This window comes from Homo sapiens, chromosome 2 (assembly GCF_000001405.40).
Source record: "Homo sapiens chromosome 2, GRCh38.p14 Primary Assembly".
NCBI classification, from domain to species: domain Eukaryota; kingdom Metazoa; phylum Chordata; class Mammalia; order Primates; family Hominidae; genus Homo; species Homo sapiens.
Genome location: NC_000002.12, coordinates 20126204 through 20149542, shown reverse-complemented (window position 1 = coordinate 20149542; position 23339 = coordinate 20126204). Strand labels below are relative to the sequence as shown.

The 23339-nt window shown below is 49.7% G+C and overlaps 6 annotated features.

Moving 5' to 3' along the window:
• Positions 3479–3558: an enhancer, noted in NCBI's record as "active region_15376". NCBI's record gives its function as "activates an Ori minimal core promoter by ATAC-STARR-seq in GM12878 lymphoblastoid cells {active_cell/tissue: GM12878}" and the evidence as "EXISTENCE:reporter gene assay evidence [ECO:0000049][PMID:35858748]".
• Positions 3769–3928: an enhancer, noted in NCBI's record as "active region_15375". NCBI's record gives its function as "activates an Ori minimal core promoter by ATAC-STARR-seq in GM12878 lymphoblastoid cells {active_cell/tissue: GM12878}" and the evidence as "EXISTENCE:reporter gene assay evidence [ECO:0000049][PMID:35858748]".
• Positions 7680–8264: an enhancer, noted in NCBI's record as "H3K4me1 hESC enhancer chr2:20341040-20341624 (GRCh37/hg19 assembly coordinates)". NCBI's record gives its function as "activates a minimal SCP1, AML or CMV promoter by ChIP-STARR-seq in primed H9 embryonic stem cells {active_cell/tissue: H9 hESC(primed)}" and the evidence as "EXISTENCE:reporter gene assay evidence [ECO:0000049][PMID:30033119]".
• Positions 11746–12365: an enhancer, noted in NCBI's record as "H3K4me1 hESC enhancer chr2:20336939-20337558 (GRCh37/hg19 assembly coordinates)". NCBI's record gives its function as "activates a minimal SCP1, AML or CMV promoter by ChIP-STARR-seq in naive and primed H9 embryonic stem cells {active_cell/tissue: H9 hESC(naive and primed)}" and the evidence as "EXISTENCE:reporter gene assay evidence [ECO:0000049][PMID:30033119]".
• Positions 12366–12985: an enhancer, noted in NCBI's record as "H3K4me1 hESC enhancer chr2:20336319-20336938 (GRCh37/hg19 assembly coordinates)". NCBI's record gives its function as "activates a minimal SCP1, AML or CMV promoter by ChIP-STARR-seq in primed H9 embryonic stem cells {active_cell/tissue: H9 hESC(primed)}" and the evidence as "EXISTENCE:reporter gene assay evidence [ECO:0000049][PMID:30033119]".
• Positions 12986–13605: an enhancer, noted in NCBI's record as "H3K4me1 hESC enhancer chr2:20335699-20336318 (GRCh37/hg19 assembly coordinates)". NCBI's record gives its function as "activates a minimal SCP1, AML or CMV promoter by ChIP-STARR-seq in naive H9 embryonic stem cells {active_cell/tissue: H9 hESC(naive)}" and the evidence as "EXISTENCE:reporter gene assay evidence [ECO:0000049][PMID:30033119]".

Below are 23339 nucleotides of genomic sequence, written 5' to 3'. Positions count from 1 at the left end.
TTGCTTTGAGGAGATCTTTTACTTGGTTTGCTACTTCCTAACCTTGTGACCGTGTGCAAGTTACATAACCACTCTGAGCCTCAGATTCTTTGGTATAATACGGGGGATAATAATACCTCCACTTTGGGGTGGTTGTGATGACTCATTGAATGAAATGCAAAAATCTGTGTGAAATTGCCCAGCACACTGCCCAGAACTCAGTAGACATGCCTCACAAATGTTATTTCCTTTCACTGACCTCTTGTTTAATTTGAAGTTTTGTTAAGTGAATTTCTGTTAAGCAAGGGATCTCTGTTCTCAAATTACAGTAACTGCTACTTTCCGGGGCAAGAGGTTATATTAGCAAGACTTCCTCTTGTAACAGTTAGGGAATGGACAGCCAGGGGAGATGGGGGAGAGGGTGCTTTGAGCTGTTGGGGTGAGACTCCGTCCTGAAACAAAGAAGCAACAAAGAGAAAACCCGGGCCTTTGTCTTCCTTCTTTTGTGGGGACCAAAATCATATGCGCCTATGTGTGTGAGAGGCCACCACGTGACCAAGCCAGCACTTTAAAGTCGGTGCCTCTGAACACTGGTCTCAAAACAAAATAATTGCATACAGACATTCCTTTTGATCACATTCTAATACCGATTTACAACTCTGCTTCCTTGTAACCCCAAAGAAAGCCCTAATCATGGAGCACATACCAGAGCTTCGAATTTTGAGTGTGTAGGAGTGGGTGTCTGTAAGTATGTATTTGTATAGGGGGCAGTGAGTGGCGGTTTACTAATGTCTAGCTCCCCTGCCCCAGATTAAGCTGTCGATGTGGCTAGTGGGATATTTTCATCTGAATGGCTCAGTTGAGCACTGGAGGCAGAAGACAATTTTTTCTGTGGTTTGCTCCAGGCCAGGCAGTTTTTCCATTCTGTTCTTTTAGTATGATCATGATTACTTCATTACCTACCCCGATGGGGTTTCTTTGGGTCCCAGTCTGTTTTTAATAAGAAGCAGACTAAAAACAAAGTTTTGGTTGTGTTTGAAATCTTCAGCTTTTTTTTTCTGAAATAATAGGTTAAAGAATTTTATTTGTCTTCTGAGGTTCTGAGGTTGGCTCAGAAATCCTCTGACCCAAGCCTTTGGGGAACAGGGAAATGGCACTTAGAATACAACAATCAAATGCAGATTCCTGGGCGCTGCCCCAATCTGCTGTATCTGAAGCTCCAAGGTGAAGCCCAGAAACCAATGTTTTTAGCAGTAATATCAGTTGATTCCTGTGAATAAGAATAAAAGTTTAAGGTTTGAGAACATATGAGTATAGAAAGAAAAATCCATCAATCCATATTTCTTTTTAATTACGATATAATTCAAATGCCATCAAATTCGCCACTTAAGTGCACAATCAGTGGTTTTTAGTATAGTCACAAGGTTGTGCCACCATCACTACTACCCAATTCCAGAACATTTCTATCCTCCCCAAAAGAAAACCTGTGTCTATTAACAGCTAGTCCTGGCCAGGAGCTGTGGCTCACGCCTATAATCCCAACAATTTGGGAGGCTGAGGTGGGCGGATCACTTGAGGTCAGGAGTTTGAGACCAGCCTGACCAACATGGCGAAACCCTGTCTTTACTAAAAATACAAAAAAAAAAAAAAAATTAGCCAGGCATGGTGGCACACACCTGTAATCCCAGCTACTCAGGGGGCTGAGGCAGGAGAATTGCTTGAACCTGGGAGGCGGAGGTTGCAGTGATCCAAGATCAGGCCACTGCACTCCAGCCTGGGCGACAGAGCAAGACTCTGTCTCAAAACAAAACAAAAGTTAATCTTAATTTCCCCCTTCTTCTAGCCCTTGGCAACCACTAATCTACTTTTTGTCTCTATGGATTTGTCTATTCTGTACTTTGCATGTAAATGATAGCATACAGTTTATGTGGTCTTTTGTTCCTGGCTTCTTTCACTTAGAATAATGTTTTTAGGGTTATTCATATTGTAGCATGTATCAGTACTTCATTTCCTTTTCATGGCTGAATAATATTTCATTGTAAGGACACACCACTTTTGTTTATCTATTCGTCAGTTGATTATCAATCAATACTGAGTACCGTTTATATGCAAGACAGTCTGCAGGGCTGTCCAGGGGATGGACATGAGAGAGAAAGGACAGTTCTCCAATAGTACAGGAAATCAAGAAGAGGTGATGGAGAACACAGCGCCTGGCACAAAGCAGAATGAGTGAGTGAATGAATGAATGAAAGCCCGCACACAGGAAAAGAAACTTAACTTGTAGAGGCAGCATGTGCTGGTGCCCCGTGTCGGGGTGGATGACGCTGCCCAAGTTCAGGACCAGCAGTGATAGTCACTCACTCAGGTGTGAGAGGCTTTACTGTAAGTTGGGTCTGGGCCCTGGGGTCTCCAGAGATTAATCAGACATGACCCATGCCATGGAGCTCATAGACTGTGAAGAAGGCAAAACAGGGCGTGGATCATAGATGACATTCAATAGTGGGGGAGGGAGGGGGCAGTAGTGGGTAGAGAGGAAGACCCTTTCTGGCTAAGAGGTCAGGAAAGATGTAGGAGGAGGCAGCATTGGAGCTAGGCTTAGCAGCTTGGGTAGGACTTAAAGAATGAATGAAAGACCACACACAGAGGAAAAGAAAGAGTTAAATGGCGGATAGACAATGGGAGCAAGTTACCAAAAACTAGGGACAGAAATGTGTAAGATGGGCTCAGGGACAGAGTTCCAGGACACCTGTTTTACTGAGGTCAGTTGTTCTCCACCCTGGCTGCACATCAGAGTCATCTGGATGCTTAAAAAAATACCAAAGGCTGGGTCCTGCCCCTAGAGATTCTGTTTTATTTGACCTGTTTTGGGGGTGAGTCTAAGTAGTGATATTTATTAAAAGCTCCCCAGGTGATTCTAATGAGCAACCAGAGTTCAAAACCACTGACTCAGAGGATTCAAGAGAGACAGTTGGCCATTAGCCTGGAGCATGAGGTTGGGAGTGGACTGTACACGGGTGGACCACATCATTTATTCTCCAAACTGGGATACATTTTTGCATGAAGCAGGGTGCTATGAATTATTATGCCAAGACAGCAGATATAAACTAGATCATCCAAAACAAAGTGGGGTGTATGTCCACCCTAACCGTGGAAGAACTTGAATGCAGGCTATGGGATTTGGACTTCACCTTATCACAAATGGGAGCTACTGAAGGTTTGGAGCAGACAACTGACACCTAATAAAATGGGAGGCGGGAAGGCAGAGGAATGTGGGGAGGATTGGGCTGGGGAAATGAGGAGACAGAAAAAGTGTGTGCATGAGAAGTACTCCCCCAAGCCCACTCCAAATAAACCTTCAATTTAAATAAAAATCGTGTGCTTGCTGGGCAGCGGCTGCTTCAAGACAAGTCATTGCCTTCTCCTCCTCCTACGTGAAAACTGAAGTGGGGTGTTTGGGCTTCCCCTAGCACCCGAGACACCTCTCTGGGAGATCCCCTAAGGGCTGTTCGCATGGACAATTTCCTCTGCTCATTTGTGAACTGTGAAAACTCCAGGCAGCCTCTCTGGAGAGGCCCAAGGGAAGGACTCCTCCATGTCCCCTGGTGCCCTTGCCCTGGGACTTGGCTGTCCCAGCTCTACAATGTCCAGGCCACTCCCCCGCACTTCTGCCTTTTGGAGAGACCCTGTGTCCTCTTGCTCCTCCTCCAGCTTCCGGATCACTGGGAGGTGCTGCTGTCGTGGCTTTTTCCCTCCATTTGTCAGGCTCACAGGGCTTGTCAGGTGAGATATACACTTGTCCCACCCAGCCCGAGGCCAGAAAACTGGGTGTGTTTGGCTGTGAGCCCAGTGAGAGTGGGCCATCTCTGAGCGTGGGTGCTTCTCTTCCCAGAGTCTGGCATCCACAGACAGTGTTGGCCAGGCCTGCCCACAGTGTTGACTGGCATTTGGACTGGCACCTTCAATGTCCCCTGACCCCCCAGTGCAGAAAGCACTGGCCTAAGGACTGGAGCAGGGGAAGGGAAGATGCAGACCATCCGTCCTCCCACCCCCCACACCAGGCTGTGCTCCCTATCAGAATCCAGCAAAGCACAGAGGAGTGCCCTAATGCCAAACACAGGTCCACAGGTGGGGTGGGATGGCGGGAAAGGAGAGAAGCTGGAAAGAATGAACAGCTCCCACACTCAACATCCCCTTCCTTTTCCTTTTCTTTCCATCTGGGAAAATATATTTAATTCTCTCAAATGATCTCACAATATCAACACATAAGCACAGACCAAACTACCCACCCCTTGCATTCCCAGCGTCGGTGGTCCAGGAGGGAACTGACTGCAGAGACTGTTCCAGCCCCGCTCCTGCCATGCCCCTGAGTTGACAGGGAGAGGTCTCCCTAACCCAGGCAGCAGAGGACAAAATGTGGCAGTCTCTGGCCTGAATCCAGTAAGCAGTGCTCAATCCAGCCACCCCTAGGCTGCATGGCCTCAGGGCTGGGACTGGGGACGGGAAGTCTCAGTTCCTCCTAGCAAGAGAGGAATGCCCAACGCAAGAAGGAAATGCTTTGTGATAAATGTCCAGTGCTAGAGGCTGGGCTCTTTCAAGAAGTGAGTAATCTCAATGTTGTCATCTGGCGAATGGGTGTATGGCAAGTTTCCTGGTTCGGAACTTTTCTTTCTTTTTAATAAAAGTTGCCATCAGCTCCTTCTTTATCCAGCTGGTTAAGAACAGGTCTTCTTTGTTCAGGAAACTGTCCTTTGAGTGGTCCCTCTTGGCTATTCACATGTTAGGCTAGTGGGGCAAGGGGGAACTGGTTCCTGGGTGGCCTGAGGAGTGCAGGACCCTCTAGTCCCTACATGGAAGAGCAGGGAGATAATTTGCTTGGGGCCAAGGAACATCTGGGAAGAAAGAGATGAAGACAAAGACGTTTGCCGTGTTAAAGTTGGAATTTTCCTGATGAAGTTTGAGATGAAGTGCCCCAGGAATAGAATCCCCACAGCCCCTCAAGGGAATGGCACCAGGAAGAAAGGGGGTCAGAGTTGGTGACCAGGCTCAACCCCAGGGCCTCCATATTCCTGTGGCATGGAGTGTGGCTGAGGACAGAAGCCCTCCTGGGCTCAGCTCTACCAGGGCTGTGCGCTATTTGGGAGCCTGGCTAACCTTGGAAGTATGAGCTTACAAGAGCAGTGGCCTTGGAGCCCAAAGTTGGCACACCTCTGTGGACCACATAAGGGTCAGGACCAGTGAGGCAGGATCTCATCAGACTTTGCAAGACCATTTTCTTTAGAGACACATGGTACTGTGCAAGAAACAATGGAAATCAGGACCTCCTGACTCTCCAGTTTCTCTCTGATTGCCATTTGCAATCAGAATTACCTGTAGGACCAAGTTTGGCCCCAATTTCCTTGGGGGAGTGGGTGAGGAATAAGGGGTAAGAAGGGGTAAAGAGGCATGACTTCCTGTTAATATGGGCGTATGGGAGCTCAAGCAATTATTGAATAAATAAGAGGGATTACATTTGCACCCCAAACTGGGGAACTGTGCTTGCTTAGGAAAAAGCCCAGAAAGTTATACAACAAAAAGTTATTAGTCATTGCCTCCAGCTGGTAAGATATCAAGGGATGCCCTTCTTTTTCCTTTCTATATATCTGTATTTTCTGTTTTCTCCCCATGGTGATTATGAAGTGATTTGAGTTATTAAAAACACTTTACAGTAGCTCAAAAAAACTATTATTATGTAGAGGCCCCAAGAAAAAGCACATTATGTCTGCTTTCATTTATTCCAAGAGGTAGAGAAGAATATATTATGTTTTGGAAAGATTTTTCTTAATCCAAGTGGTTAAAAGAGAAAAGTTAGGTGCCTACTGATATGTGTTCAATTGCCTGGAAAAAAAATCAATTACATGGCAGTTTAACCTGCGGTGATGAGAGAGCCCAAGCCACACATGGACTCATTCAAGGGGCTGGGAAGACAAGATTCGGGTGGGGCAAGTCGTGAACAGGATTTTCAGGTCTCTATGGGGTTGCCCTAGGGTAGAGGGAGCCCAGGGCCTATCATGTGCAGAAGTTACAAGTGACCAAACCAAGCAGGCCATAAAAGGCAGGCATTTCCAGCAGCCTGGCAGGCACGTCCCTGAATGGAATGTCTTAGGAGATGCTGTAATGAAATGACCTCAAACTTCTATCAACAAAGATGTTTTGTCTGCTGGTTATTATGTCATCATCAACATGACGGGAAAGTCTGTGAGGATGAGGAATAAGGAGAGAAATGGTGGGACAACTGAGCCAGCCAAGAGACCCCTAAGAGAGAAGATAAGGAGGGCATGGCCCGTTTGAAAGGGTGGGTGTCCAGTTGGTGTAGACATGAAGAGATAGGGAGGTCTGGCTGGTGTAGAAATGGGAAGGCAGGGGGAGGGGAGGGTCACCTCAGAAACAGGAGCTTCGGGAAAGGGAGTGTGACATTCAAGCACTAGACCCTCTAATGCATACCTGCAAATTAGTGCCACCTCGCCCTAGGGGATGTGGGTGAGTGGAAAGTGAGCTGGATTTCATTCCTCCACTTGCTTCCTTGGCCATCTGCCCTTGTTCAGTAGACAATCCACACACATGTACCTGGGGGCCCAGGGCAGCCACAGCACAGTAATAAATGTGTTGTCAGTCTGCAAATCACCTCAGTCAGCAGCTGGGGTACAGGAGCAGGATGAGACCTCGGTGAGGAGGCCAGCCACCATGCATGGCATGGTAACAGTGCCCAGGGAAGCAGGCTGAGGTCCAGGGCAGAGTTCTAAGGCCAGTGGTGGGTTGGAATGAAAAGCAGGGAAACTGAGGCAGAATTCCTTTTGTATGGGCAGAGGCAAATGGAAGGGGTGGGTGACTTTGAGGCTCTCCATGTTCCCAGAGCACATCTTGGGCCACAAGGCTCATTCCAAGCCCTTCTGGAATAAGCTGCCTGCAGAAATCCTGCCTGTTTTGGCTGGGAGGGGTCCATAACATGGGTAAGCAGAGCGGGCTGTGGAGCCTCAGCGAACCCACCACAGGCCAGGACCAACAGGGCTGACCAGCTATGAGACCTGCTTACTGCTTTGGTTGTCCTTTATGGCAGTGGTGTTCAAATTTGAGCATGCATCAGAATCATCTGGAGGGCTTGAGGGATCCCAAAACAAAGTGTGTGATTTGGTAGGTCTCAGGTGGGGCCTGAGGATTTGCATTTTTTATTTCTCCCAAGTTCTCAGGTGATGCTTTAGAAACCACGTTCCAGGGATGCCTTATTTCTGAAGCCCAAGGCTTCCATGAAAACCTTGATTGCTTGTTCCTCCTTGATTTTCTTTTCAGCCCCAGAGCCTCAGAGGGTTCCCGTTAACAGTACCCCTCCAGGCTTCTCTGAGGTTGCAGCTCGATCTCATTTTCCTGGCAGAAATTGACACCTGTTTCTTCCCTTCTACTCTGGACTTTAAAGCAATGGATCTCTTAGAGAAAGAATTAGCCATGCCCCGATTTGGGTAGAGGGAGGGGCTGGGGGCCATCCCAGACCTCCTGTTGTCTCCAGTGCCTCAGCACCTATGGGGCAGCCCTGGACCCGGCGGAATCTGGAGATTGATTTCCAGGACCCTGCTGGGCAGGCGTAAGGGTAAGGGCTTAGTTACTGGCAGAGCAGCGATGATTTGCCCTAAGATCCTAACTGAGCCCTAAATCCTTTCATTAAAGTTCTAAATGAATCACAGCCTCTGAACTAGAACAAACGCCAGCGGGGCATCTCTCAGGTCTCAGTTTCCCCAGCTGTAAGTGAGGCTGCTCCAGATGTTCCCTGAGATAGCTTTTGGCTCTAGCATTCTTGATTCCGAGGAGGACAATGGGTCAGAGGAAAGAGAGGGCTCATCAGGGTTTGCTGGGAAAGGGGTGGAGCTGAAGGTGATGTCAGCCGTGGTGAGCTGGGCCTGGAAAAGCAGCGTGAGTCACCGGGCATGACGAGGGGCAGGATGGAGAGCCAGGGAAAGGCTTTAATGGGGAGTCATGTGGTCAAACCATCGACTAGGAGGCTGAGGCTGGCAGCCAGCTGGGGTTTGGAGCCAGAGAGGTTGCCTAATGTGCCATTCAGCCTCTTACCCATGGGGCAGGGGCCAGTGCATCATCCCGTGGCTCTGGCCTGGATGTGTTCAGGTTCTGGGCTCTGGAGAGCCATAGGCCCTTGTTGGGAGTGGCCATCCTAGAGGGATGGCTGCCAGGGCCCTGACCTAGCACCATGTGGGCATGGGACTTGGGCCTCTCTGTAACCCAGACCTGCAGCAAATTCCCTACCTGCAAGCAGCCTACCCAGCCTGACCCCCTCGGCCTGACTTTGGTCCTGGGGCTGCCTTGCTCATGTCCCTGTACCTCTGCTTGTCTCTCAGCCCCTCTGAGACAGGGACTGGGACTTGCCTGCTCTTGTAGCCCCCTGCACAGCCCAGCTTAGCACCGTGCTGGACTCCTCATGGGAACTGAGGGAACTATCCACCTCAATCCAAAAGCTACTTTGGAAAGAGACAGGGGCGGAGCTGAGGTCTGACCAGCCCTTCCCACCCCCATGCCTGCTTCTCACTTCTCTGTCATCTCTGCCTTTTGCCAAGACCCTTGGTGCTTTGTGCTGATGGTCACAACGCTGAGATGGGCAGCCCAAACCAGGACTCACAAAGCAGGGGAGATGCACCAATGCCAGCATCCCTTTGCTGACCCCTCTTCCTGGAGGGCACCGGGCTCCGGGCTGACACACCTCAGTTATGGTCTGGCTTGGCCACAGCTAGCTGTGTGTACACGAAGTCCCTCTTCTTCTCCAGGGCCGGCTTCCTCATCTGTAAATTAGGAGCAATTATTCTTGAGCTACTGGGTCACCTGACACAGAGAAGAGGCTCCACCGATGTTTCTATGATTGTTGTCATTAAAAAACATGACAGCCAGAGAGGTTGGCACCGGGGTGTCTGCCATCCCTCGTGTCCTGAGAGCAGGCTCAGCTGGGCCCAGCTGAGATACTGGAGCTGAGAGCCCTGGAGAGATACTGGTGGGTGGGTGGCTGTGCAGGCATCTTTGGGGGAACAGAGTGGGATATGGGGAGGGGGCCGGAGTCCAGGGGGACTCCCAGCCTAGCCTGGGCCATGGGTGGGTGAAGGCCATGCCCCCTCCGCAGGGGCTCTGATCAGGTGGGGGCAGGCTTGGAGGTTATTTGAGGGCACAGGAAATATCTGGAATCTATGAGAATGGGAACTCAGGTCAGAGGTCACCTCAAATTAAAATTGAAAAAGCCCTCTGTGTGAAGGGAATCAAAGGAGGTGAAGACGTTTGCTCTTCCGGAGTCTCCTGAACCCAGATGTTAGCGGTTAAAATTCCTGTGGGGCTAAACGGTGGGCACAGGGAGCCATCTTGGGGCCCGGCAGGGCAGGAGCCCAGGGAACAGTGTGCATTCTCATGTACCCTCCAGGACATTGCCCCAGGGATTATGAGCAGAGCGGGGCCTGTCCCTGCAAAGCCGGGTGCTGTGGGGGGATGGGCACTCTGGGGTCTAGGGCCTCCCGCGGCCCTTCACTCTGGGCTGGCTGCACCCTGGAATGAAACAGGATCTGGCATCCCTGCTCTAGTCTGAGCCAGGACAGCTCATTAGCTGGAGGGCCGTGCTCCTTCAGATTTATGGTCAGGAGCCCCTCATCTGAGGGCCAAGGTCTTTTGATCTGAGCCCAGGGGTAGGGGCAGGGGATTCCTGGGTCTTAATTGGCATCAGCTAGGCTGATGCTGACCAGGACTCTGTCCCAGGCCTCAGCCCGCAGCCCCAGCCCCCCAGGCTGATGCTTATTGGGGGTGGAGGGCTCTGGGAGGAAGACAGGCATGTGCGGAGTTTGTTCCTACTCTGCAGGGCCTCATGGGCAAAAATACCAGGAGGGAATGAACAGCTCAAAAGGATCCTCCCCTCAGCCGCTCCCCAGCCTTGACCCATCCCCGACCCTGATTCTTCCCTTTCCCACTCTGACCTCACCCCAACCAAGTGTCACATCCTATCTGGGGTGGGGCTGGGGGCTGCCATGTACCTGGGCCTGTGCCAGGCACCTTGAGGACACAAGGAAAGTCTAGCAGAAAAGTCAGCTATATACACAACTAGAAAGAATAGATAAAATAATAGGCTGTGCTTTTGATATCTTGGACTTCCCCAGGTCAGGGATGACCATTTACATGAGGGATTTATTGTGTCTTGTTCTTTTGTTTTCGGGCTTAAGGAGGAGTGAGGAAGTATACTCAGGGGATACTTACTTAGAGAGAGAAAGATATTAGGGAGAAGAAGGGGAAGGGAGGAGAGGAAGGGAAGAAGACATTGAGACAGAGGCAGACAGAGAGTGAGACAGGAAAAGAGATTGTCAATCCTGAATCCAGCTGTGTCTCAACCTAGCTGACACGTCCTGGACTTCTCAGGAATGTGGCCCAATAAATTTCCTTTGGGCTCAAGCTAGATGGAGCTGGGCCTCTCTCCTGAACAGTGTGGGCGAGCCACACAGTCAATGGCTGCATTGGTGAATGTGTGCGTTTATTCCAAAGGAGAGGGCAGAGGGAAGGAGAGAAAATGGGACAAGCCTTCTGCCCTCAGAAGCTGACCTTAAGTTAAGGAGCCAGCACTCCAACATGAAAGCCACTGGGAGATGCTATCATTCCAGAGGCAGAGGAGGAATGGGGACAGAGAGGGCAGCAGCAGAGAGCAGAAGGACCGGGCCCAGAGGAATGGGAGAAAGCTTTGTCTTGGTAGCCTGCAGAAGGCTCTGGAAGCAAGCAGAGGAGAGAAACTCCACTGCATAAGAGCCTGGTGACTCAAGAGGGGCCGGGCGCCTTCCCCGTCCTGGGCCAGGAGAGATAAAATATCATCTCATTAAAGGATAGCTTCTTATTATTTATGAAAGATGCGTGTGAGCTTTTTTTTCAGGTAGAGCCCGGGGGGATGAGGATATCAGATAAGGGACCAAGGTCAGGTAATTCAGGCAGCGTACAAATGCACTAAGACTTGAGTGCACTATCTGTAGTCTATTTAAAGCCAGCTCTTCTATGATGCCCTGGTACTGTATTTCTTCAAATTCTCCCTCATTTTTTCTGGTCACTCAGTTTCTTATTTCTTTTAAGGACTGAGCCTTTCTTAAGCGTTTCCTAGGGAGATGACTCTTCCCTCGTGTATCTGGCCAGGCAATATGGGTCACTTCCCAGATCATAGTTTCCAAACTGGAAGGTCTTTACTCTGCCAGCTTCGTTATGGTGTAGTTTGCATACTGTAGAATTTGCTTGTTTTACGCATACAGTTTGATAAGCTCTGCCAAATGGAAATAGCCACCTACCTACCATCAAATGAAACATTGATTTTTTTTATCCCCCCATAAAATTCCCTCATTCCCCATTGCAATCAATCCCCGCTCCCACATCCCACCTCAGGCAAGCCCTGACCTGCTTTCTGGCTGCAGCGTGGCCCTCCCTGGAGTTCAGACGCAGGGAGCGGCGGAGTCTGCAGCCTTTTGAGTTAGGCGGCTTTCATTTAACTGCTGAACTTCAGCGCAGTGCCTTGAGAGTCATCCATGTCATTCATTGTATTACTATTTTGTTCTTCCTTATTGCTGGGGTCATTCCATCATACGGGTGCCCTACAGTTTGTCCATCCACCAGTGATTAATGTTTTTGGAGAGAATGAATAAGGCAGGAGGAGGGCAGCGGGCGTCTGTCCCACACCTAGGGGACCTGTTTACTCTCACCCTGCCCCGAAGGGGTTGCGAGGGAGGGAGGCCAGAGCCTGACCCCATACACAGGACAGTGACAGTTACAAGGCCCAGCACTATGGGAACTGGAGGGTTGGGGGTCAGAAGGGACATCCTGGCCAGCTTTAATAATAAGAGCCACCATGAATTGAGAGTCTACTACGTGTCGCCATCTCCAGCCCTCACTAAAACCACACAACGGAGAAGCTTGAGAACACGCCCTCAGGAAGACCAGGGCACTTGCTCAAGGTCACAAAGCTATTAGGTGGCCAGTTAGGAGTCAGGCCCTGGCTTATTGGTCTCCAAAGCCCCCACTACCCCGCCTTCTTCCTGGAGGAGGTGGGAGTATTTTGGGAGTTCTGAAGGTCAAAGGCAGTGAGAGCAGCCCAGTTGGGCATTCTGGCGAAGCCTGCGGGGGAGGTGGAGCCCTTCCCAGAGCACCCTGATAACCCTGACAGGCACACTCGCTGCCTCCGGGGCCTGAGGAGGAGGGTGGAAAGCTCTCCCATATCCTCGAGCGAGGAAAGCGCTCTCCTTGACTGCCCTCGCATGTCTAGTGTGAGTTCCCACTGGGAGAGGGGCAGCTGGAGGACCTGAGGCACTCACTGTACCTTGGGGAAGGGCTGGGGAGGGAAGACCCCCAGGCAGCGCACCCCCAGGAGTGTCAGGAGCAGGTCTGTGTGGGCCTGGAGAGCTGCAGCCGGAGGCACTGCACCCACAAACTCTAGTCTTCACTCACAGCAGCCCAGAGTGGCCCCTGAAGTTCTCTGCCTGTTTTTGATTCCTTCCATGCTGCTCCATAAAAGGCAGAGGGACGAGGATGGGAGCTGAGAATCGAGAAGCGGGAGTGAAGCCCCAGCTCTGTCACTGGCTGACTCGGCGACTGCGCCCTTCATTTTGGGTCTCAGTTTCCCCATCTGTAAAATGAAGCAGTTTTAGTGATGAGACAGACTCGAAGGGTCCTGCCTGATCTGAGTTTAGATCTTTGTGGAGTAAACAGTGACTCAAGGGGGCTGTGAGCAGGAGGCCCCTCGAGGTAGGTGCAGGGTGCTTTCCCCTCTCTAGGCACCCCGGGCCTCTCCGCAGAGCCTCTCTCTGGAGAAGGGTCTTTTCCTGGGGCACCTCTGACAGCACCCCCTTTGCACTCTTGCTGAGGTTCCTTCAGGCTTTGGTGAAGGCCTGGCCCTCCAAAACGGGGTGGGGAGAGGACAGGAGAGCAGAGGCAGCAGAGCCACGTAGTGCCCAGAGCAGGAGCTGCTCCATCGAAACCAGGTCACCCTCTTGCTGTTCCTGACTATTATCCCAGCGAAACTGAGAGAGCACACACCTGGGGCCATTTGCTCAGCGTCCACGGTTTTACGATCAGAGCAGCCTCAGACGAGGAAAGAATGAGTTCATCCATCCCCACTGCCCCCGCCTCACTGCAGGGCCAGTTTCACGGGGCACATGCCAGGCCCTGCGGCCTCTGCAGCCTGGCCCAAGGCACCATGTCCATGGAATGCAGGGAAGGAGCGTCTCCTCAGCCCCCAGCCTGCCCGCCTCAGCCTGCCCGCCTCAGCCTGCAGGGTGTGGTTAATGGGGAGAGGCTGCCAGCACCTCCGTCCTAGCCCAGGTGGGCTGGGTAGGCCTGGGGAAGTTGAGGCAGACAGGAGAACAGGAGCTGATTCTCTCCTCTCCTGCTTCCCCCCAGGACCTGTCTCTGCACTGGGACCAGGAAGATGCTTTATTTCAAAGGTGAGACATAGAGCTAGAAGCGATCATAAGGCAATTCCTGCCTCTCCTTGTTTTCTGGAGTTTCCTTTGAGAGTCCTTGAACATTTCTGCTTCCTGGAAGGTTGCATCTCCTTCCTCCTCTCCTCTACCAAGTTTCTTTCTCTGGGCCTGATGCATCAAAGCCCCAGCCCGGTGAGACGGTGATGCCCCAGGTTCAGACAGACTTCAGGGGAGGCAGAGCCCAGTTCCTAAAAGCCATGTGCGCATCTGGCTATGCAATGCCCTTCAGCTGTCATTGAGAGCTGCCCCCTGCTGGAACCGGCCGCAGCTGCTCCCGTGACTGGGAGCCCAACTTCTCTGTGGCATAGAAAAAGCCTTTCTCAGGCCAGGCGCGGTGGCTCTCGTCTGTAATCCCAGCACTTGGGGAGGCTGAGGTGGGAGAAACACTTGAGGTCAGGAGTTCGAAACCAGCCTGGCCAACATGGTGAAACCCTGTCTCTACCAAAAAATACAAAAATTAGCCAGTCATGGTGGCACGCACCTGTAATCCCACCTACTTGGGGGAGCTGAAGCATGAGAATCACTTGAACCTCGGAGGCAGAGGTTGCAGTGAGCCGAGATCGAGTGACCCTGTCTCAAAAAAAAAAAAAAAAAAAAAAAAGGCCTTTCTTCTGAACTGCCCCAGAGCCTCCATCAGATGCTCCAGATGTCACTGTCCTCCACCTGTGGTCGCTTGGTTAGGATTTGCGTGAGGCTTTCTAGGCCCTAAGGACTCAGGTAGTGAAGAGAAGTGCAGCAGGTGAGACGGGCTATGAAGATCCGAGGCTCACCTGGTCCTGGTTCCTGGTGATGAGGAGTGGATGATTTAATGCAGGGTAGGTAGGGCTGCAGGCACATGGATTATTCAAGGTGGTCTTGGAGCCATGGCCCCAGGGTGGGAGCTGGCATCCAGGCAGGACTTATGGATGGGAGAGGGGCTCAGCCCCATCCACTGCACCCTAAACCCAGCCTGGCACCGGGGTCCTCACGCAGCCTGGTGCCCTTCAGTCCTGTTTTTCTGGCAGCTGCCTCAGGCTTGAGAATAAACTCCACCCAGTTGCTTCCACTCGATCCTCCCCACAGCAAATATCTGGCCCCCCCTGCATCTTTTGCACGCAATTCCCAAACTGGAGAATTTTCCATATTTTGAGTCTGTCCCAATCAAGGTAGAAGCCAGAACTCACTCCCCACCCTCCTCAGGGGGCAGTCATTATGACCAATGTCCCTACGTGAGACTCGTAGGGGGTCCTCTATAGAGAATGGGGTGGCGGAGGTCTCTGGCCCTTCAGGGCAACGGTGGCAGAGTTCTGGGGTCACACTGGAGCAGAGCTTTCTGGGGTCGGGGGGCAGCCTCTGCTGTGAGTCTTAGGTATTATTCTTAGCTCCGTGGCATCCAAGTCTGACTCTTTGGTCTCCTGGAGATCCCATGAGCTTCAAAATGCCTTTCAATAACTTGCTTTTCTGTGAAAACTAGCTGGAGTGAAGCCCTACCACTCTTAGAAAAACTCACCAGGCAGAAAGGATGGGAAAAGCAATCCTAGCAAAGAGTGGCAGTTCTTAACCCTTTAAGCCAGCTGGGCACTTATAAACGTGCCCACACCCAGCATCCTGCTTGCTTTGGGCATAACCCACATCTGAGTCGTTAGGGTGGCTTTAAATTCTGCAATGTTATGGGATTACACTTTTCTGTAATATTTGCATGAATTGGCTTGGGTCCCTATCACACATGAGGTGAAGATCCCAAGATGTTTTCCCTTCCCATGTCTTCAGGGGGTCTAGGGGACAGTGAGTTTTATTCAGGTCTCTTCTCTCTTCTTTGCTGTGCTTCTGCTTGTTCTCTTCTTGCTCTCTGTACAGTGTCGCCCTCCACCAGACACACCCGAGGTCCTTTATTCCCTAAAGGACACCAATGAAAGGCTGAGTGTTGAAATCTGGGAGCCAGAAAGTGGGGTGAGTGATACCACAAAACAGCACAGCAGACCATCTCTTTTTTCTTTTAAGATTTTATTGTAGGATATATCACACACAGAAAAGTGCATGAAACATAAATGTACACTTTAGCAAATCGTTATAAAGTAAAGACCTATATAACAGTCACCCAACTGAAGAAATAGGCTATTGCCAGCGCTCCAGGACCCTCCCATGTGCCCCACTGTAAACAGTCTTTACAGTGACATGTTTCATACATTCAGAAGAGTGTATAAAACAGATACAACTGAATGAATCTTCCAAAAAGGAACACCGTGTGCCCATTAAATATGGTATTACTAATATCTAAGAAGTCTTTTTTTTTTTTTTCAATGGAGTGTCACTCTGTCACCCAGGCTGGAGTGCAGTGTTGCGATCTTGGCTCACTGCACCCTCTACCTCCCGGGTTCAAGCGATCCTCACACCTTAGCCTCCTGAGTAGCTAGGATTATAGGTGTGTGCCACCACGTCTGGCTAATTTTTTTTCTAACAGTTTACAAAAGTCCTTTCTGGGGACATCACTGGACAAGACCATGAGTGAGCCTAGGGAAACACAGGCTCCCTATAACTAAGGCATCGGGCAGGGCTGTGATGTGAGCCAGATACCGGACACCTGGCAAGAGGAGGGAGCTGTTTGGTGTTTTTTCCTTCTAAGCTCACTATGGCCCACATCCAGTTCTCAGGAGCAGGGCAGATCACACTGAGGTGGGGGTGGCAGCAGGCAAGGAGGGGTGGGCACAGACTGCACAGCACATGGTCAAGACAAGGCAAGGGCAAATCAAAACTGGGGCCAGGCTCACCGGAGCCTCCTGTCCTCAGGTTGGAAAGACTGTCCGGTGGCAGTGACGCTGCGACAGCCCTCGATGTACCTCTTGCTGGCATTGTGCCACCCCCTCGGGGACCAGCTGCCCTCCCTGTCTTGTGCAGTGCTGTCCTCCTGCACTACCCTCCTACGGACTGCTCCTTGCCTCCTCTCCATGCTGGCTGTGCCGTTTCCTATGTCCTGTGTCTTCCCTTCTGTTAACTCTCAGTTTGGAGGAGCACATTCTCCAGTAGCTTCTTGAGAAATGTTGCATGGGAGGAAATTTTCTTGCAATATCGCACGACTAAAAGTGTCTTTAGCCTCATACATAATTAGTATTTGGCTGGATAGAGGAGTCGGCTTGGAGAGCGTGTCCCTCCAGCATTTTGGGTTTGCCTTTGCTGTCTTCTTGTGTCCCAGCGCTGCTGATGAGTTATCAGAATCATTCCGAGTCCTCATCTTTTGCATGTCACCTGTTTTCTGCCCCATCTGAAAGCTTGTGGAATTCCATTGTCCCCAGCTGCCTGAAATTTCACAAAGATATGCTTGGCATGGGCCTGTTTTCATCCCTTGCCTGGCTCTTTTTTCTCTGTAATTTCTGTTATTTCCATATTAGATCTCCTGGGCTAAGCCTCCAATATTTTAAATCTTCTCTCCTACTTTCCATCTCTTGTTTTTTTTTTTTTTCTTCCTGATTTCTAGGAGATTTCTTCAACTTTATCTTGCATACCCTCTGATGTGGTTTGGGTCTGTGTCTCTGCCCAAATCTCATGTTGAATTGTAATCTCCAATGTTGGAGGTGGGGCCTGGTGGGAGGTGACTAGATTATGGGGGTGGATTTCTCCTGAATGGTTTAGCACCATCCTCTTGGTGCTGTCCTCATGACAGTGAGTGAGTTCTCCTGAGACCTTGTTGTTTAAAAGTGTGTGGCACCTCCCCCTTCTCGCTCTTGCTCCTGCTCTGGCCATATGACATGGCTGCTCCCACTTCACCTTTCTCCATGATTGGAAGCTTCCTGAGGCCTCCCCGGAAGCAGATCCTGGAGCTCTGCTTCCTGTACAGCCTGCAGAACCATGAGCCAATTAAACCTCTTTTCTTATAAATTCCCCAGTCTCAGGTATTTCTTTATAGCAATGTGAGGATGACATAATACACCTTCTACTGTGGCTGCCATGTTTTTCATTTCCAAGAGTGTTTTACTTTTATTCTCAGCATATTCACTTTTCCTGTCTTCTAGGGTGGGGCTTGCCAACCTTTGACTTCATGGGGGAGTGGTCTGGATGTGTCGTTTGTCAGAGATCCCCCCATATCAGGATTTAGTCTTCCTTTTGAGTTGCCCAGACTATTTAGAGAAGATTGTTCTAACTCCTGCTTTGAGAGGAAGGCTGCCTTGTGTTTTGGGTGTTTAGAGTCAGAGTCCGGGGTGGGGTCTCCATAGGCATATGACCCAGAATCTTCCTGCCTTCTGGGCAGTAACCACTCACAGTAATTTTCCAGTGGGGAAGGGGAGGGGACAGGAGGGTTTCCAGGCATCTGACTGCTTCTTAAACAACTTTCAACCCATCCTTATTTCAACTTCCTTCTTTACCCAGCTTAGAGAGGTTCCCTCTAGAGTCAGTTCCTGAGACTTCTAAGCATCCTGCTTGTAAATGGTTTTGATTCTAAACTCTCCCCACTGCTGGCCTAGGAACTGGCTTTCTCCATCTGCGTCGGAGAATGCTCATCTGCCAGCTTCCCATGTTTTGCTCCTGTTTTCTCCTCTTCTGTTTCCCTCATTTTTGTGGTTTTATGTCTTCCTTTTAAAGTTCTCTATTATTGTTCTAGTGAGATTTGGGGAAAAATGCAATTAGATGTGTGTTTAGGCTGCCACTTTAACTTGAAAACCTCAAATATTCCTCTTCTGAAAGTCCCCCAGCCACTTCCTGAGAGTAGGAATTTCACGCCAGCCCTCTCTTCTCAAATGCCAGCTTCCCTCCGTGTGGCTTGGATGCCTCAAACTCAACACCCTCATCGCCTTCATTTCTGTCTTCCTCACAGAGGCCCCGCAGCTCCGTGTGAGGCCTGCACACAGGAGAGACAAAGAGACATGAACTGGGAGACTCCAGAGGAGGTGTCTGTGCTGGGAAGAGAGACGACAGGGCCTGGGGCTGCTGCCTAGCTGGGGAAGAGCTGGGCCCCAGGTGAGGGCTTCTGGGCCCTGGCTCCGATCTGACCCAGGCAGACTCACAGACAATATCAATGTCCTGTGGTTTATGCCAGGATACAGAAAGTACGGGATAGAGCAGGAGCCCAGAGGAGGTGTGACTCACCCAGCTGGGAGACTTCGGGGAGAGCAGGGAAAGGTAAAGTGTCCTGGACTAAACTGGGCCTTGAAGAATGAGAAGCTCTTGGCCAGGTGGAGAAAGTGAGGAAAGGGGTGTTTCAGGCAGGCAGTCCACTGACCTATGTATGGTACCTCTGCAAATTAGACAAAGGTGTCCCCTCTGGGTAAATGTAGACAGTGACAGAGAGGCCTGCATGTGCGAAAGCTTGGTGTGCTCTGTGGCAGGCAGGAGAATGACCCTCGAAGAAGTACAAGCCCTAATCTCTAGACCCCGAGAATCGGCCTGTGGATGTGATGAAGGACCTCGAGATGGAGCGCATATCCTGGATTATCTGCGCAGGTCCTGGGTAATCACCAGGGCCCTTCTAAGAGGGAGGCGGAGAGAGAGGTCAGTGTCAGAGAGAGATGTGACGATGGGAGAAGAGGTCAGAAAGAGATTGGAAGATGCTACTCAGTGGCTTTGCAGATGCAGGGAGGGGGCATGAACCAAGGAATCGGGAGGCTTTTTGAAGCTGGGAAAGGCAAGGCAATGGATTCTTTCTTGGAACCTCCAGAAGGAATGCAGCCCTGCTGGCACCTTGACTTTCATCCTTTAAGACCCATGTCTGGACTCCTGACCTCCAGAACTGTAATATAATACATCTGCGTTGTTTCGAACCTGTAAGTCTGTGGTAGTTTGCTGCAGCAACAACAGGAATTAATACTCAGGCCCTGGTGCTTTCAGGGAAGGGCTGTGGCCAATGTGCCTGGGGCCTGGGGTGGGAGAGGTGGAGTGGGGACAGATGAGGCTGGACAGATAGGCAGGGGATACACAGGGCCTTCCAAGTCACAGCAAAGAATTTGCCCTAGCCAAGGCAGTCCAAGTGAGACAGGAGGAAGAGGGGAGCAGTATTTTGGGGGGATCCGTGCTGTGGAAGATGGTCTGGTGGGAAGTGGCTGGGGCACACTGACATTGGGGAGCTGCTGTAGGTGCAGCAGAAGGTGACATGGCCTGGACCCAGCTAGTGGCAATGCGGGAAGGCATAGCCTGCCTGAGAGCTGAAACACAGCAGAGGGCAAATTCCTCTTCTCCCCTGCCCTTGTTTTTTTTCTTCCTGCCTCACCCAGCTATGGTGCCAAAGGCTCCAAAGGGCCACCTGAGATAAGGTAATGATTTTGGAGGAAGAGTAAATTCTGGGGAATGTTCCCAACGGCTCAACTGGGAAAGGACAATTGACTTCCTATGTGTGCACAGCTATTCATGCACACTCACACCAACGACACACACACACACACACACACACACACACACATGAGGGGTTCTAGCATGCCCGTGGCCTTTCTCCTCATTGGCCTTCTCCCTCGCGGGGCCAGGGAGAGGCTGCTCACCCTTGGCAGTCCCAGGAGCCCGAGGTGCGGCCCAGGGGGCATGTCTGATGTCAGGCCTCCAACAGTGACTCCCTTTTGGGGCCAACAGGTGAGGGAGACAGGAGGCGGGAGTCAGAGGACTGAACCCTGAGTGGGGAGGCACAGGGCACACTGCCAACCGACTCTTCAATCACACCTGTGATCACAGCAGAGGCGAAACTCTGGTCACTTCATCAGAAAGATCAAGATTGCAAACCACAGCACCTGGTGTGTGCACACCCTGCACCCTTCACTCAATCTCCAGCCACTCTGAACCACCTGTAGCTCTCTGAATGCCACCCGTTTCACCTGTCTCTTTCTCTGTCTGGGCATCTTCTCTCCCTTCTGGTCTGCCTGGTTATCTCCTCCTGATTGTTCAGGTCTCACATCAATAAATTCCTTTTCCGCGGGGACTGGCTGGGACTGGCTGAGGTTCAGTGCATGGACCCTGGAGCTAGTCAGCCCTGCAATGAGTGCAGCCCTGCTGCCCACCAGCTGTGTGGGGCAGTCAGGGCTCCTCCCTGGGCAAGAGACAAAAAACCCAACCCACACTGGCTTAAGCAAAAACAGTATGTATTGGCTTATGAACCTGAACAACCCCAGGATGGACTTCAGGCAAGGGTTTATCCAGGACTCAAACGAAGAAACCTGGGCCAGGTTTCCTACCCTCCATTTTTCAGCCCCATTTCCCTGGTGCGAGCTCCATTCTCAGATACACTCTGTCCAAAGCCCCAGGCCACATGCTCCCCTGTCCAATTTTATATTCAAATTTAAATTTATCTAAAACTTAAATATGAATAAACTATGTAAATCTGTAATATATATTTTATATACAATATGACATACATATTAAATAAATTTAAATTTATATAAATAGTAAATATTTTAATTTATTAAATTTATATTTATATTTAAAAGATGAGGAAAATAAAAGCATTTTAAAATGAAGTATTGTCTTCCTCCTTTTCTGCTGGCCTGGGTCTTTACACCATGGCAGAGGTCACTGCTGGTAGATGAGAGAAAGCTTTCTAAAGCTGAGACATGTGTTTTTGAGAACTAAATGTTAGATGGAGGGCAGTTAAAAATTAAAATATACCTTTGGCCAGGCGCAGTAGCTCATGCATATAATCGCAGCACCTTGGGAAGCTGAGGGGGTGTGGATCATTTGAGGCCAGGAGTTTGAAACCAGCCTGGGCAACATAGTGAAACCCCATCTCTTCAAAGATAAAAAATAATTAAAAATGTTTAAAAATAAAAAAAATTAAATGCACCTTTTCTAGACCCACTTCTATTCTAATAATTCTGCTTATATGCATTTATCCTATAAATATATGTCACTTGTTCAAAATAATTTATGCACAAGATTATTTATTGTAGAATTATTTGTATTAGTAGTGGATAGTTAGAAAAAGCATAAATATTCATTAATAGGCAATTGGTTAAACAAAGTACAGGACATTCCTATAATGGAACACTGTGATACTATAAAGTCATAGTATCATTAACCAAGAATGAAATCTCTGTCTGTTTTTTTTTTTTTTTTTGGAAACAGAGTCTTTCTCTGTCATACAGGCTGCAGTGCAGTGGCATGATCTTAGCATCTTAGCTCACTGCAACCTCTGCCTCCCAGGTTCAAGCAATTCTTGTGCCTCAGCCTCCCGAGTAGCTGGGACTATAGGCATGCACCACCATGCTCGGCTAATTTTTTTTTTTTTTGTATTTTAATAGAGACAGGGTTTCATGGTGTTACCCATGCTGGCCTCAAACCCCTAATCTCAGACAATTCACCCGCCTTGGCCTCCCAAAGTGCTAGGATTGCAGGCATGAGCCACCATGCCCGACCTAAGAATGAAATATCTCTATAGTGACATGGAATGAGCTCCATGATATATTAAATGAAAAAATAGGCCAGGTGTGGTGGCTCACGCCTGTAATCCAAGCACTTTGGGAGGCTGAGGCGGGTGGATCATGAGGTCAGGAGATAGAGACCATCCTGGCTAACATGGTGAAACCCCGTCTCTACTAAAAATGCAAAAAATTAGCTGGGCGTGGTGGCGGGCGCCTGTAGTCCCAGCTACTTGGGAGGCTGAGGCAGGAGAATGGCGTGAACCCGGGAGGTGGAGTTTGCAGTGAGCTGAGATCATGCCACTGCACTCCAGCCTGGGCAACAGAGCGAGACTCCGTCTCAAAAAAATAAAATAAAATAAAAAATTAAATAAATAAATAAATGAAAAAATACAGAATATTATATAACCATTTATGTAAAATGTGTGTGTGCATGTATGTGTGTGTGCATAAGACAAACTTGTATTATGCAAACTTGTATTATGCGTAAAATATCATATGTCTGGAAGGCAGAAATTTTGGAAAAGGGCATGCTCCTCTGGGAATGCTCATAGGGTGCCCATTAACACCATCAGAATTTTGTATAATTTGTCTATATTTACCTATTAGAAAATAATAATTTTCTTAAAAAGTACCTCAAAATAATGAAAACATGAATAAATGAATAATGAATAAATGAAGTGCTTAGACCAGAGTCTGGCCTAGAATGATCACTAAGGAATGTTGCCTGTCGCCCCCTCCCAGGGCTGCCTTGGCACTCTCTGTGCCCTCATCACATTGCATACACACCTCCATCCCAGCAATTATATCACTGTGTCATCACTGCCAAGTTCCACATCTGTCCAACTGGACCAAATATGACTGTACTTCAGGGGCATTATTTTTGAGCTTTATGTCCTCTGCCCCTAACATAGACCCTGGCATGGAGTAGGTTGTTGAGTGAATGAAGGACGGAATACATTTACTAATGAATGTATTAGAGGGAAAAATGAGGCTTTAGCCTCTGCTCTCTAGAAGCTCATGGCCCAGTAGTGGGACAAGAGTCACACAGGAAACATTTCAGTGACTACAGGCTGCATATGACAATGGCCCTGTGACCCTGGGGATCTGGGCGAAACAGAAGGGAACGCTCCCCAGAGCAGAGAAGAAGTGATTACAATTGGAAGGGTGGGTTGAAGCCTGCCAGCAGATGGGAGTCAGGGCAGCAGCAGGACCACACCTGGTATGGTGGGAAACACAGGGGAACCTGAACTTGACCACAAGGCAAAGCTATGCTCAGTTGACCCGCTATTATAACACAGGCTTCAATCTCAGGGCCATGCAAGGACACCTGAAAGACACCTGAGCCTAACGAGCTGCTGCTTGGAGTCAGCACTCAGAGATGGAGCTGGGTAGCCAGTCAGCCCCTCTGCCTTCGTCTCCAGCCCTGCGGGAACTGGGTTTTTGTGTCTTCTGGAATCTCAGGACTAGGATCAGACAGGAAGTATACACCCTTCCTGTATTTGTCCTAAAAACTGGCCTGACTGCTTGGAATGGTTATTAACTTGAT